This window comes from Homo sapiens, chromosome 13 (genome assembly GCF_000001405.40).
Source record: "Homo sapiens chromosome 13, GRCh38.p14 Primary Assembly".
Taxonomy (NCBI): Eukaryota; Metazoa; Chordata; class Mammalia; order Primates; family Hominidae; genus Homo; species Homo sapiens.
In genome coordinates this window covers 24,322,538-24,337,611 of record NC_000013.11, presented here as the reverse complement: position 1 = coordinate 24,337,611, position 15,074 = coordinate 24,322,538, and the positions used below count along the sequence as shown (strand labels likewise).

General features: G+C 39.8%; 1 long non-coding RNA gene and 3 pseudogenes across 1 annotated transcript; 1 reads left to right on the top strand and 3 right to left on the bottom strand.

The window, feature by feature from the left end:
• Window positions 1-490: 490 nt before the first annotated feature.
• On the bottom strand, window positions 491-6,162 carry LINC00566 (long intergenic non-protein coding RNA 566). The gene is made up of 2 exons (NR_131903.1): window positions 6,076-6,162; window positions 491-973 (listed from the first exon to the last, which is right to left on the bottom strand). It is a non-coding gene; the product is annotated as a long intergenic non-protein coding RNA 566 (long non-coding RNA).
• On the bottom strand, window positions 5,504-9,904 carry NUS1P3 (NUS1 pseudogene 3; annotated as a pseudogene).
• On the top strand, window positions 13,748-14,654 carry CEND1P2 (cell cycle exit and neuronal differentiation 1 pseudogene 2; annotated as a pseudogene).
• LOC101060086 (cell cycle exit and neuronal differentiation protein 1-like) lies at window positions 14,100-14,845 on the bottom strand (annotated as a pseudogene).
• Between the last annotated feature and the right edge of the window lie 229 nt (window positions 14,846-15,074).

Below are 15,074 nucleotides of genomic sequence, written 5' to 3'. Positions count from 1 at the left end.
TTTTTTTTTCCCCCCAGGAAACCATGTTTACTAAGCATGTTCTTTTCCAGGTGAATTTCAGTCAGTGCGTCAAATTCCGTAAAAGATGCAATTGCAGTTTAACTGGGATTCCACGGTGCATTTCGATCACTTTGGGAGACCGTTGACATCTTTACAATGTTAATTTTCTCGTTCAAGATTTCTCTCCATTTACTCAGAAAGTTTCTTTTGTGTCTGCCAATAAAGTTTTAGTTTTCCTCTCACAGGTTTTGTGTGCATTTTTGTTACTTCCAACCTCTGCCCCCTGGTATTTTACAGTTTTTCTAGCTATTGTAAATGGGACAGCTTCTTTCAAATGGTTATTTCTTGTGTATAAAGATATGGATTTTTATATGTTGGCCTCATCTCTGACTATATTACTGAATTCCTTTATTAGTAATTTTTACTTTTTTTTTTCTTGGATTTGCTAGATATGATCATATTGTCAGTAAACCACAGCAGTTTTTGCCTCTTTGCAGTATTTATAGCTTTTATTTTATTTTTTTGGAGACAGGCTTTTGCTCTGTCACCCAGGCTGTAGTGCGGTGGCGCTAATGTGGCTCACTGCAGCCTCAAACTCGGGGCTCAAGTGAACCTCCCCCTTCAGCTTCTAGTGTAGCTGGAACCACAGGTGTGCACCGCCACGCCAGGCTAATTTTCTTATTTTTTTGTAGAGAAGGGGTCTTGGTCTTGCTTTGTTGGTTAGGCTGGTCTTGATCTCCTGGCCTCAAGTGAGCCTCCCACCTCAGCTTCCCAAAGTGCTGGGATTACAGGTGTCAGCTACCGCGCCTGGCTCTTATATCTCTTAAAAATCATCTTGCGTTGACTTGGCCTCCCATGTGGAATACAGCATGAGTGTTGATGTCCTCATCTTGTCCCAGATTGTAATGGGTGCCTCAGGTGCTTTACCAAGCATGAAGTTTTCTCTGTTCCCACCTCTGGAGGAATTCTCATCCTGCATGGAGGTAGGATTTTAACAAGTGTTATCTTGGATGCATGTTAAGTTGAGCCTGTGGTTTCTTTTTAATAAAAAAAAAGACTGTCTGGAATACACTTTAAGTTCTGGGATACATGTGCAAAATATACAGGTTTGTTACATGGGTATACACGTGCCATGGTGGTTTGCTGCACCCATCAACCCGTCATCTACATTACGTATTTCTCCTAATGCTATCCCTCCCCTAGCCCCCCCACCCACCAACAGGCCCCGGTATGTAATGTTCCCCTCCCAGTGTCCATGTGTTCTCGTTGTTCAACTCCCACTTATGAGAGAGAACATGTGGTGTTTGGTTTTCTTTTCTTGTGTTAGTTTGCTCAGAATGATGGTTTCCAGCTTCATCCATGTCCCTGCAAAGGACATGAACTCATCCTTTTTTATGGCTGCATAGTATTCCTTGGTGTGTATGTGCCACATTTTCTTTATCCAGTCTATCATTAATGGGCATTTGGGTTGGTTCCAAGGCTTTGCTATTGTGAACAGTGCCGCAATAAACATACGTGTGCATGTGTCTTTATAGTAGAATGATTTAGGGTCCTTGGGATATCCAGTAATGGGAGTGCTGGGTCAAATGGTATTTCTGGTTCTAGATCCTTGGGGAATCGCCACACTATCTTCCATAATGGTTGAACTAGTTTAGACTCCCACCAACAATATAAAAGCATTCCTATTTCTCCACATCTTCTCCATCATCTGCTGTTTCCTGACTTTTTAATGTATAATGAATCATAACAAATGACATTAATAGATTTCAAATGTCATAAGTCCTTGAATTCCTAGAATAATCTTCCTCCAGTTTCCAGCTCCTCAAGGCTGGCTCTTGCTTCCCTTAGCCGGTGTTCCCTCCTTGGAGATGGCCTGGCTCCTGTGGATGCATGGACAGATGGATGGATGGAGGACCCCAGCAGCTCCCCAGCCGGCTGTCAGCTCGCTATGGAGGAGGGCTGGTGTCTGTATTTCCCACCTACAAGTTTGTACTTTTCTATCACATGCTTGCATCCATATTTTTTGTGCCTTAAAGATGACATAAATGGCAAAATGGTGTAAAGATTCTTGCAACTTGCTTTTTTTCACTCAACATCAAGTTTTTGAAATTTATCCATATTGATGGATATCAATTCAGTGTGTTTCTGTTAAGTAGAGTAGAATATTCTGTCATGCCAATGAGGCACAGATTAGTGATCCTTCCCCACTCAGGAACTTGCAAATGAGTTCTGCTTTCCCACCATACCACGAGCAGCCTTGCTTGTGTCTGCTGGTGCCGTGTGCAGGGGATCTTGGGCCAGGCCACTGCAGAAAGAACCCTGGCTTCTGGGAATGTGTGTTGTCAGCTTTCCACACCAGCTTTTAACAATGCCTGGCACTTTATAAATGTTCAATAAGTATTAAACATTAGTGCTATCATTGCCATTATTATTAAGTATTGCTGCTTTGCTGTCCAAAGTGGTTATACCAATTTATACGCCTTCCAGCAGCAGAGTTTCCATTTCCACAGATTCATGGCAACACTCATTAGTATCAAACTTCTTAATTTTTTACACTCTAATGGGTGAAAAATGGCATCTAGTTGTTTTAATTTGTGTTTCTCAGTGTTAGCAGTGAAGTTCAGCCACTTTTCACGTATTTATTGCCCATTGTTTTCTCCTGATATTTATTGTTTCTTATCATTTGCTCATTTTTCCATGGGGTCGCTTGCCTTTTTCTTACTGATTTTCAGAACTATTTATGTATCTGGATAGTGATACTTTATTGGTTATGTGGATTGCAAATATATCCTCTCAGACTGAGGCATGTACATTTTTTTGCTTTATTGATGGTGCCTTGTTCTGAACAGAATTTTAAATTTTAATGTGTCTGATACCTCAGACTGTTCCTCCTGTTTTGATATTAGTATAAACTCATGTTATCTTTTACAGCTTTGCATTCTCACATGTAGGTGTTGACCTACCTGTGACTTATTTTTTCTTGATGAATTTGTTTTCTGTTGCTCCAGCACCACGTGCCAAGTAGTGCACCCCTTCCCCATTGAGGGGTAATGCCCCCATCATATACCAAGTTCACATGTATTCATGGTTCTTTTTCTAGCTGTAGCCTCAGTTTCATTGTTTTATTTACCCATCCCTGAACCATATCACACTCTCTTAAGACTTGTAGCTCTATAAAACAAGTTGTGATATCTGTTATCTCTCTCGCCTTTATATTTAGGTATGTCTTGGCTATTTTTGGCTCATTGCTCTTGTATGTTAATTTTGTAAATCAGCATGAAAAACACATTTTGGGAAAAGATTTTGGAAATACATTTTATCTTTAGATCAATGTAATGATAGTTTTCATCATTATTGAGTCTCTCCATTCATGAATATGGCATATTTCTCCATTCACTTAGGTCTTCTTTCATGCCTTCCAAGAAAGTTTACCCATTTCCTCCTATTAGAAACATCTTGCACATTATTATTACATGTATCTCTAGGAACCTTGTGGGATTTTTCACTGTTAATGGAATCTTATATACTTATCTAATTTTTGCTAGTAATTTTTATGCTGAATTTATATCCTGCAATTCATTGAACTCCCTAGTTAATTCTAATAGCTGTCTCTAGATTATCTTGAATTTCCTCTTCAAAAATATTCTGCACATAATAATAGCTTAGTTTTTTTTACTTCTTAGACCCTATAACAGATTTCTTTTCTTCCCACAATGTGCTCCTAGGGTCTCTAGCACAATGAGGCATAAAAATAGAGCTGATTTTAGAGTAGCACTGAATTTTACAATGAAAGATAATACTTTCTATATGATTTAATCTTCTTTATCAGGATAAGGAAATTCTCTCGTATTCTTAGGTTAAGAGGTTGTTGTTCTCCTTAAATCATAAGTTAGTGTTTATCTTCTATAAGGTTTTAGTTCAGTAGTATTTTTTTACCTGCATTATTAGTTATTATTATTATTATTTTACACACTCAGTGCTCCTTCAGATTTACCTGTATTATCTTGCATTTTCTTTGCTCACCCGAGCTTCATGTATCTTATTCCATCTTCCCAGGTTCAATTTACTTTTGGTCAAAGTGTACCTCTTAGTGGGCTGTTGTGTGTAGGTCTTCAGTGGGACACTCTCTCAGGATGCTTTGGTTCTGAAAGTCTTCATTTCATCCATTCTGTCAGTTCTCTTTTCACTATATTGATTGTTTCCTTTGGTATGCTGAAGCGTTTTACTTTTATGTAATCCCATTTGTTTATTTTTGCTTTTGTTGCCTGTGCTTTAAGGTCTTATTCATAAAATCTTTTCCAAGACCAATGTCGTAAAGCATTTTCTCTGTGTTTTCTTCTAGTAGTTCTTATAGTTTCAGGTTTTATATTTAAGTCTTTGATCCATTTTGAGTTAACTTTCGCATAGGGTGAGAGATACTTGCAAACTATTCATCCAACAAGGGATTCATATCTAGAATATACAAGGAATTCAAACATCTCAACAGCAAAAAAAAAAAAAAAAAAAAAAAAAAAATTAAAAATGGGCAAATGATTCAAACAGATAGTTCTCAGAAGGACATGCAAATGACTAACAAATATATGGAAAAAGTTCAGTATCACTAATCATCAGATAAATGCAAATCAAAACCACAGTGAGGTATCATCTCACTTCAGTTAGAATGGCTATTGTCAAAAATACAAAAAAATAATAAATGCTGGTGAGAAGGTGGAGAAAAGGGAATTCTTACACACTATTGGTGGGAATGTAAACTAGTACAGCCACTATAGAAAACAGTATAGAGTTTCCTCAAAAAAACAAAAATGGAACTAGCATATGATCTAGCAGTCCCACTACTGGGTAAAGAGCCAAAGGAAAGAAAATTAGTACATCCAAGAGTTGTGCACACTCCCTGTCCATTGCAGCACTATTCACAATAGCCAAGCTATGGAGTCAACCCAAGTGTCCATCAACAGATGAATGGCTAAAGAAAACGTGATTTTATACACACACACACACACACACACACACACACATATTATGGAATATTATTCAGCAATAAAAAAGAATGAAGTCTTGTCCTCCACGAAAACATGGATGAGTCTGGAGGACATGGTGTTAAGTGAAATGAGCCAGGAACAGGAAGTTAAACATGTTCTCACTCATATGTAAAAGCTAAAATAGTTGATCTCACAGAAGTAAAGAGTAGAACCCAGGTTATTAGAGGGTGGAAAGGGAAGGGGGATATAGGGAGAGATTTGTTAAAGGACACAACATTACAGTTAGGAGGAATAAGTTCTAATGTTTTATAGCACTGTAGGATGATTATAGTCAAGCATGTATATTTTCAAATAGCTAAAAGAGGATATTGAATTCTCCCAACACAAAAAATGATCAATATTTCAGATGACAGATATGCTAATATCCTTGATCTGATGACTATACATTGTATGTATAGGAACATCACTGTGTATCCCATAAATATGTATGGTATTTGTGGAATTTTTAAAAATAAATAATTTTTTATAGTCAATGAAAAGAGTATATTCTTTTATTGGTTTTTGTTCATACATGTTAAGTTTCAACTTTCAATAATAAAATTCAATAAATTTGATTCCTTAATCATAAAAACTTGCTTTACACATTATTTACATGTTGTTAAAGTCCATACAAAACATCACAAGGATTTGATTGACTCTGTGCATGGCACCATCACAAAGAAGGAGGAGGGAGCTAATCCAGTAACATACATTCAAAGATTAAATTGTAGATATGCACAGTGTATTTGGCACTGTTCATTAATATTATAACACCTTCCTCTCAAAGACAGGCATTCTTAAGCGTTAGTCACAATATACCAGAATTTGCTATTCACATTAAAACCACCTTTTAAACTTTATAACAGTAATCAATTATTATTGTTTTAAGAAACAAAACACAATGAGAACTGGGAATGGAATTCAAATCCTCCAACTTCTTGCTATGCTCCAAGCTGCCATCCATAAAACAGGTTTAATTTGGTAACTTTTCCACTGAGGGGAGTGTCAACAAGAAACAACTTAAAGACAATATTTTCCAATACAAATAAAGACATACACTTTTGTTTAAAATGAACAGTTCTTCTTGGGAGTGCAAAGGGAGCCTTGATGACGTACAGCTTGTGATGATTTTGGCAGCAATTATAGAACAACCAATGCCATTCAAGTTATGGAGATTGTACTAGCAGGTGAACTCATAAAGAGAAGATTCTGGAATGCCTATATCTGAAATCAGAATCCTGGTAGTTTGTAGTTTGCCTCTTCCTAGAAGTTCAAGAGACTCAAGTCATAGGCTACAGATGTACTTTCAAGTATATACTTATAAATGGAAGGAGAAAATAAAAGCAAAAAAATGCAAATATTAAACCTTTAGTGGCTTGGACTATATTCCAGTAGGTAATTTATTCCACTAACTTCACTTTAACAAAGATTAAATCCCTTCATTTTAATCAGGTCCATTAAATTTCATTCATTAAAGCTATACATACTCCAGAATGTTTATAAGACATTTACACCGATCATGTTTACAAAAAGCATAAATTCAGTCTTAAGCTGCACTACAAATGCCTCAATATAACATAATCACAGTATAAGGAAACAAATCAGAAATTCTCTGATTAGATATGCTGTAGCTTTACAGAAAAATCTCAGTAATAAAACAAAAAGACTTACAATGTATAATAGGCTATGCAGTGCAAAGTAATGTCACTGGACCAAAATTTAGTTCAATCATTTTTATTTCAAGTGTATTTAAAAAATCATAAATGGGGTTTCATAATCTAAAGTTGAAACATTTATTCTTCATAGCTTCAGAATTTGACAAGCAATTGTAGACCATGCTTTCCAAATCCAGTCTTCTTTGCTATTTTTCAAACTTCCGAGATCTAGTATTAAACTCCTCCATTCTAAATGTACAGTTTTAGATAACTATTGTACACTTGTTGATAAGAGTTTTCTGAAAACAGTCTATCAAATATAAATAATGGTTTCTATCTAAGAATCAGCAGTGAGGAAAGAAATATTAAACACCAGTCAAGAAATCAATTATTCATTTTAAAAATAACAGAACCAGTGCTGCTCTCTGTCATAAAAGAGAACATGTAAAATTTATTTTTATAGGCTTTGGCAATATTTTATTCCCCACAGAGGCCTTCAATCCTACTTAAAGATATTTTACACACGGTAACCATCAGGTTTACTGAGTAAAAATCTCAGGTATTAACCATGCCCCTAAAATGTGCAGTTCCAAAGAGGAACAGGTTACTTTTGAGGAAAAAAAGTTGCCGTGGTAACTTCCCTCAAATGTTTATTTTAAATAAAAATAGTTGATGGGAATATTTTTTAAACCAAGTTTGGGTATAATATGGCATACTGCCCATCAAACAAAAAAGGAAATCAAAACTTTTTTTCCACTTATCATGAGTTTTTGACCTTTACTTTTAAGATTACAACTTATTGACCTTTTATGCTTGTTTGGTTTGTTTTCTGACTGCCTAATCCAATATTTATTTATTTATTTATTTATTTATTTTGAGAGGGAGTCTCATTCTGTCGCCCAGGCTGGAGTGCAGTGGCGCCATCTTGGCTCACTGCAAGCTCCGCCTCCTGGGTTCACGCCATTCTCCTGCCTAAGCCTCCCAAGTAGCTGGGACTACAGGCGCCCGCCACCAAGCCAGGCTAATTTTTTGAATTTTAAGTAGAGACCAGGTTTCACCGTGTTAGCCAGGATGGTCTCGATCTCCTGACCTCGTGATCCGCCTGCCTCGGCCTCCCAAGTGCTGGGATTACAGGCGTGAGCCACCGCGCCAGGCCGCATATTTAAATTTTTTAAAGTCTGCATTTCAATGTAGTAAGAGTTGTTTTTCAAATAATCTTCATAAGCCAGAATACAGACACCAGAGCAACACTCTCAAGTCACACTGTTTGACTATAATGAAGAGATGAAAATGGGCGGATATCTGAAGATAGGTATTCCCTCTGCTCTGAAGGTGAGCAAGCTTTTAACATGTGAGCAACACAGAACTCCTTTCCTCTGGAGCTCCTTTCAACTCAGAATGCTTCAGTTCAGTAAGTCAATATATTATTCTTAAAAATTAAAGTTTGGTCACTAAGAAGGACTGAACAAAATTTATTCCCCTCCCGCCAAACACAACCAGAACAGTTCTAATCAGGCCCTCTTCTCCCCACGAAAACAGGGAAGTAGCTGGGCTGAAGACTTTATTAAGTGTGACATTTCAGTTCCTAAAACATCACTGCTATATGCTCAAAGTTGTAGGTCTATGTATTTCCTTCTCCAACACGTCCCCATTTATGTTTATTTCCACACATACAAACGTGCACATGTGTGCACGCACACACGCACACACTCACTCTCAAGTAAGACACTTTTTTGTTTGTTGATAAATTATGAAGATTATGAACTAGGTGTGTACAGGGTTTCATAGGTGCTTTCTAAACATCAGAGTCACTTGGGTCCTTTCCTCCATAAGCCTCAAATGGAATTATGCAACCAATGACCACGACTTTCCCAGACGCTGTTCACAGGCTGCATAATGACGAAGGGCAGAGAAAAAGTCCTCATAACTGATGTTTAGATGGGAAGGCAAAGAGACAATCTCAGTCAATCTGATGTGCCAGGTAAGAAAGCCTCGTGTGCTGTCCACAGGACCGAACTTCAGTACTAAATCAGGATCAGGACAACCATTTGAACTGAGTAAACTAACATATCTACATCCAAATCTTTGGGTCTCCTTTGCTTCTGGGCTACTCACTGGCAAAAGTCCTGAGCGGCTCTCACAATATCTGCTTTTCCATCTTCCGGGGATAGCACCTTCACTGCCAAATGGCAATTTAAAACTTGATCATCTTTGTCGTTACTATTTGCAAACTCTGGTGAGTATTTTGAACAATCTAGGCCCAGAAGTTCTTGCTGTTGTTTTAAAATTCCATCCATCAATCTGGAATTATTTCTTTTGAAAATACCTTGGTGGTCGTAGATGCTAATGTAGGAGATGCCCACGGCCATACACCACACCACGAGGCTCGCGATGTCCGAGAAGCTGGGTTCCTGCTCCACCTCGGTGATCACCAGGCCCATGCGCACAGGCAGCTTCTCCAGGGAAGGGCCGTCCGCGCGCCAGCGCATTCGGTGGTGGGCTGCGGGCAGGCACTACCCCCCGCGCGGGTGCGTGTGGTGAGGGCTGTTCCATGCTTGCGGAGCGTGAAGCCAAGCGGCTCTAGGACCGCGGCAGAGGCGGCGCGGCAGCAGCGCCGCCAAATCCAGTTCCAGGTGTGGAACCGAACGCGGAGCCAGGAGGTGAGCGTGCGGTGCAGACGGAGCAGCGCATGCAGCACCCGTCACAGCAGCTCGTACAGCCCCGTCATACTCTTGTGGCCCTTGGGCACCCCCTCTCCCCCCAGCCCACTCCCGAGGCGCGACGGCTTTTTTTTTTTTTTTTTTTTTTTGAGACGGAGTCTCGCTCTGTCACCCAGGCTGGAGTGCAGTGGTGCGATCTGGGCTCACTGCAATCTCCGCCTCCCAGGTTCACGACATTCTCCTGCCTCAGCCTCCCGAGTAGCTGAGACTACAGGCTCCCGCCACCACGCCCGGCTATTTTTTTTTTTTCTGTATTTTTAGTAGAGACGGGGTTTCAACCGTGTTAGCCAGGATAGTCTCGATCTCCTGACCTCTTGATCCGCCTGCCTCGGCGTCCCAAAGTGCTGGGATTACAGGCGTGAGCCATGGCGCTACGGCTTTTTATCCGCCCCTACGGCCTGCGCGGGCATCGCTCCGTGTCCCCCCGCCCCCTGAGCCCGAACTCCTTCCCGCTGCCAACACCTCACCTCGCCCCCGCAGCCATCTTCCTCCTCCCTTGGCAGCCCCGCCCTAAAAATAAATAATTTTAAAAAGCATTCATTTTATACTATCTCTTGAACACTGTTCAGCAGGGTAGATTCCATACTGATGATTATTTTCATCAGCACTTGGAATATACTGTTCCACTGTGTGTGGTCGTGATTGCTGCAGTTGTGAAGTTTGCTGTCAATCTAATCAGAGTCCCTTTACAGTTATGCCTTTTTTAAAGTGCTTTTAGTGTTTATCTTTTACTCTGATAATTTACAATTTAATTTTAATATTTCTTTTTTAAACAGTGTTATTGAGGGGTGATTGATATACAATAAACCGCACATACTGAAAGTGCAAAATTTGATGCATTTGATGTGTTTATGCTTGTGAAACCATCACTAAAGTTATGATAATAAACATATCAGCCAGGCACGGTGGCTCACGCCTGTAATCCCAGCACTTTGGGAGGTGAAGGCGGGTGGATCATGAGGTCAGGAGTTGGAGACCAGCCTGGCCAACATGGTGAAACCCCGTCTCTACCAAAAATACAAAAATTAGCCAGGCGTGGTGGAACATTCCTGTAATCCCAGCTACTCGGGAGGCTGAGGCAGGAGAATCGCTTGAATCCGGGAGGTGGGGGTTGCGGTGAGCCGAGATTGTACCACTGCACTCTAGCCTGGGTGACAGAGGGAAACTCCGTCTCAAAAAAAAAAAAAAAGATAATAAACGTGTCCATCACCCCAGTCTCTCCTTGTGCCCTTTGTAATCCTTCCCTCCACTTCTCCACCCTCAGCCTGTCCCCAGGCAACCACTGACATACTTTCAGTTATCATAGGTTAGTTTGCATTTTCTATAGTTTTATATACCTGGAAGCATAGTGTATGTCCTCATACTTTTGTGAAGTCTGGCTTCTTTCCTTCAGCAAAATTAGTTTAAGATTCATCCATGTTTTTGGCAGTATCAACAACCCCATTTCTTTCTATGGCTGAAGAGTCTTCAATTTTATGAGTAAAGGCAATTTGTTAATACATTCAGGAGTTGATGAACATTTGGATTGGTTCCAGCTTTTGGTTATTGCAAATAAAGCTGTTATAAACATTTGCATACAAACCTTTATATAGACATATGCTTTTCTCTCTCTAGGAGTGGAATGGCTGGATCATATGGTAGGTGTATTTAGCTATTTAATAAACTGCCAAACTGTTTTCCAAAGTGGTTGTGCCATTTTTACCTTCCCACCAGCAGTGTAGGAGGTTTCTAATTTCTCTACATCCTTGCCATCACTTGGTATATCAGTCTGTTTAATTTTACACCTTCTAGCAGATGTGTAGTGGTATCAGCTTGTGGTTTCAATTTGCATCTCTTTATTGAATAATGATATTAAGCCTCTTTTCATGATCTTGTTTGCCATCAATATTTCTGTTGGTGAAGTGTCTGTTCAAATCTTTTGTTCCTCTTTTTATTGGATGTTTGCATTTTATTATTGAGGTTCGAGGGTTTTATATGTTCTGCTTAGAAGTCCTTTACAGATATGTGATTTAAAAATACGTCCTCTTGATTTATGTCTTCATTCTCTTAACAGTATATTTTGAAGAGTGGAAGTTTTTAATTTTGATGAAATGCATACTATCAATTTGTTCTCTTGTGAATTATGCTTTTTATGTTGTATCCAAGGTCACGAAGATTTCTGCTCTATTGTTTTTTTAAATTTTATAGTTTAAAGTCTATGATTCCTTTGAATTAAAGTTTGTATATACGGTGAGGTATGAATCAAAGTTCACTTTTTGGGGGATTCAGCATCATTTGTTGAAAAGACTATACTTTCTCTATTGAATTGTCTTTGTACTTTGTCAGAAATCCATTGGCCATATATATGTGAGTCTATTTCTGGAATCTCTATTGTGTTTCATTGATCTATTTGTCTATATGTATGCCAATACCATACTGTTTTAATATAGCTTTATATTTAGCCTTGAAATCAGATAAGTAAGTCCTCCAACTTTGTTCTTCTTTTGCAAAATTATTTTCACTATTCTAGGTTCTTCATTTTTTCCATAAAAACTTAAAGTTCAGTTATCGATTTTTACTTTTAAAAGCCTTCTGGAATTTTGATTGAGATTCCACTGATCTATAACTCAACTTGGGAGAACTGATATCTTAACAACTTCAAGTCTTCCTGTCCATGAACATGTTACATGTTCCATTTAGTTAGGTCTTCTTTAATTTCTCTCAGCAATGTTTTGTAGTTTTCAATGTACAAGTCTTCCACATGTTTTATTTGATTTATGGCTAACGATTTTATATTTGTTAAAGGTATTGGAAATAACTTTTAAAATTTCAATTTATGATTGTTATATGTAAAAATACCATTGATTTGTGTATATTAATTTTGAACTCTGCCACCTTGCTAACTCACTTATTAGTTCTAATAGCTTTTATTTCATGGATTCCATGGACTGGTCTACACAAATGATAAGGAAAGTGTTACTCTTTCCAATCTAGATGACTGATTTCTTTTTCTTGCCTTATTTCATGAGATAGAACCTCCAGTACAATGTTTAATAAAAGTGGTGAGAGTGGATATCTTTACCTTGTTCTCAATTTTAGGAAGACATAGATTTTTGTGTAGATGGCCTGCATCCTATGAGGACTCTTCATTTTATCCCTGGTTTTCTGAGGGCTTTTAATCATGACTCAATGTTGGGTTTTACTAAGTGCTTTTTCTATTGAGATGATCATATGCATTTTTCTTTTTGTCCACTAATATGATAAAGTTCATTTATTGATTTTTGAACGTTAAATCAACTTTGTCTTCCTGCGATAAACTATACTTTGTCATGAATGATATAGATAAACTAGATTTGCTAAAATTTTGCTAAGAATATTTTCATCATTGTTCAGAGGGATATTGGTCTCTATTGTTGTTTGTTATGATGTCTGTTTGATTTAGTAAGAAAGTAATGCTGTCTTCATCTAATAAAAAAAGGACCTTTTCCTTTTCTATTGTCTGGAAGGATTTGTGTAGAATTGTTATTGTTTCCTTAAATATTGTTAGACTTCACCATGAAAACCACCTGGGCCTATAGTTTTCTTTGTCATCAGGATTTTAATTAAAAACTTGATTTTGTTACTAGATACTCATGTTATCTATTTCTTCTTGAGTGAACTTTGATAGTTTATGGCTTCCAAAGAATGTGTTCATTTCACCTAAGTTATCAAATTTATTAGAAAAAAATGGCTTACAGTAGTCCATTGTTTCCTTATAATTACTGTAGAAGATTTGGTGACACCCACCCTTTCATTCCTGATGTTGGTAATTCGTGCCTTTTTACTTTTTTCTTGATCAGCTGACTAGAAGTTTAACAATTTAATTGATTGTTTAAAATGATTAGCTTTTACTTTCTTGGATTTTTCTTATAATTTTCCCTTTTTTCTTTCACTGATTTCTGTTTTTTTATTATTATTATTTTCTTTATCTGCTTACATTGTGTTTAATTTGCTGTCTCTTTCCAGTTTCTGAAGGTGAAAACTCAGGTCACTGATTTGAGACATTTCTTTTTTGCTATAATGTAGGATCTTAGTGCTTAAATTTGCCTCCAAGCATACATTAGTTGCAACTCCCTGATTTTGGTATGTCATGTTTTCATTTTCAGCTCAACAAACTTTCCAATTCCTCTTTTGATTTCTTATTTGAATAATACGGTTTGGCTCTGTGTCCCCACCCAAACCTCACCTTGAATTGCAATCCCCATAATCTCCAGGTGTCAAGGCAGGGACCGGGTGGAGGTAATTTAATTATGGGGGTGGTTCCCCCATGTTGTTCTTGTGATGATGAGTGAGTCTCATGCAATCTGATGGTGTGGTTTTTTTTTTTCTTTTTACAACCATGCCCTTTGATGTCCCCGTGAGGGTTGGGCCCAGGCAGAACCCATCCCGGCACCCCCACCTGCACTCAGAGACCAGCCCTGGGGGCCCAGGATTACCCAGCCACCGCCAGATCCCACACAGGGTCCATTCCTTTCTCGCAGTTCCTCATCTGTGCCCTCTCCCGGCATCCGGCACTGTGGACCCTGGAGCATGGACTCCCTCGGCCCTGGAGGCTGGGGAAGTCCTGGATCAACAGGGGTGGGCCCTGGTGTCCTCGCCACTGTGTGCATGTGTTGGGGGCATATATAGACGTGTAATGAATGTCCGTGTGTACACATAGATAAGGGTGAATTCTGCATGCACTGGCTTCCTCAGGTCTCTACAGGAAGTGGCTCCGTGCCCACCACCTGGCCCCGGATATTATTTTTTCCAGGCCAGGAAGGCCACACCGAGGATCAAGGCTATGGCTGCCACGGCATAGGCCACTCCCAGCAGGGGCCTCAAGTTCTCGCAGGACCAGGGACCTCGGCCCCTAGGACACCTACCGGCAGCCTCGTCCTCCGCCGCCCCGTCCCCAGGACCCTTGGGCTCCCGGGTTGCAACGGGACTGCTGGGGACCATGGAGCCCGTGGGGACCAGCTTCAGGTGGCTGTGGTTGTTGAGAAGGGCGGGGTCTTCTTGGCAGGCACTGTGGTGGGGGCTGCCAGTGGCTGCTGCTTCTCGGCCGGGGCCTCCTTCTTCGAGGGCTTGGTCAAGCGGGCTTTCCCATCGTCTGCCAGAAGTACCTTGGCCTTGGTGGTGGCTTTGGGCGCCTTGGTGTCTGGTTTGGGGCTGCTGGCTCATTTCCCTCTGGACTCCATGGTGGGCGGGGTGTATGGGACAGGCAGGTGGCTGCACCAGAGGGGCTCAGGAAAGCTCGACGCGGAAAGTGTTAAGACTTTTGGAAATGTTGAGATGGGGCGAAAATGTATTTTGCACAGGTGAAGGAAATCAACTTTGGGAATCAGAGGGCAGATTGTTTTGTGTTGAACTGTGTCTCCCAAAAGAGATGCTGAAGTCCTAACCTGTACATGTGACCTTATTTGAAAATAAGGAGCTGCAGATATGATTAAGATGGGTCATAGTAGATTAGGGAAGCTGTCCTTGTAAGAAGAGGAAAATTTGGCTGATACAGAAGGAGGACAGCCACCTGAAGATGGAGGCGGGGACTGGAGTGATGCTGCCACCAGCTGCCAGAAGCTGGAAGCAGCAAGGCTGCATCCTCCTGTATCCCCTTTGGAGGGAGAATGGCCCTGCTGCTACGGTGATCTCAAACTTCCAGCCTACAGAACTGTGAGAAAGTC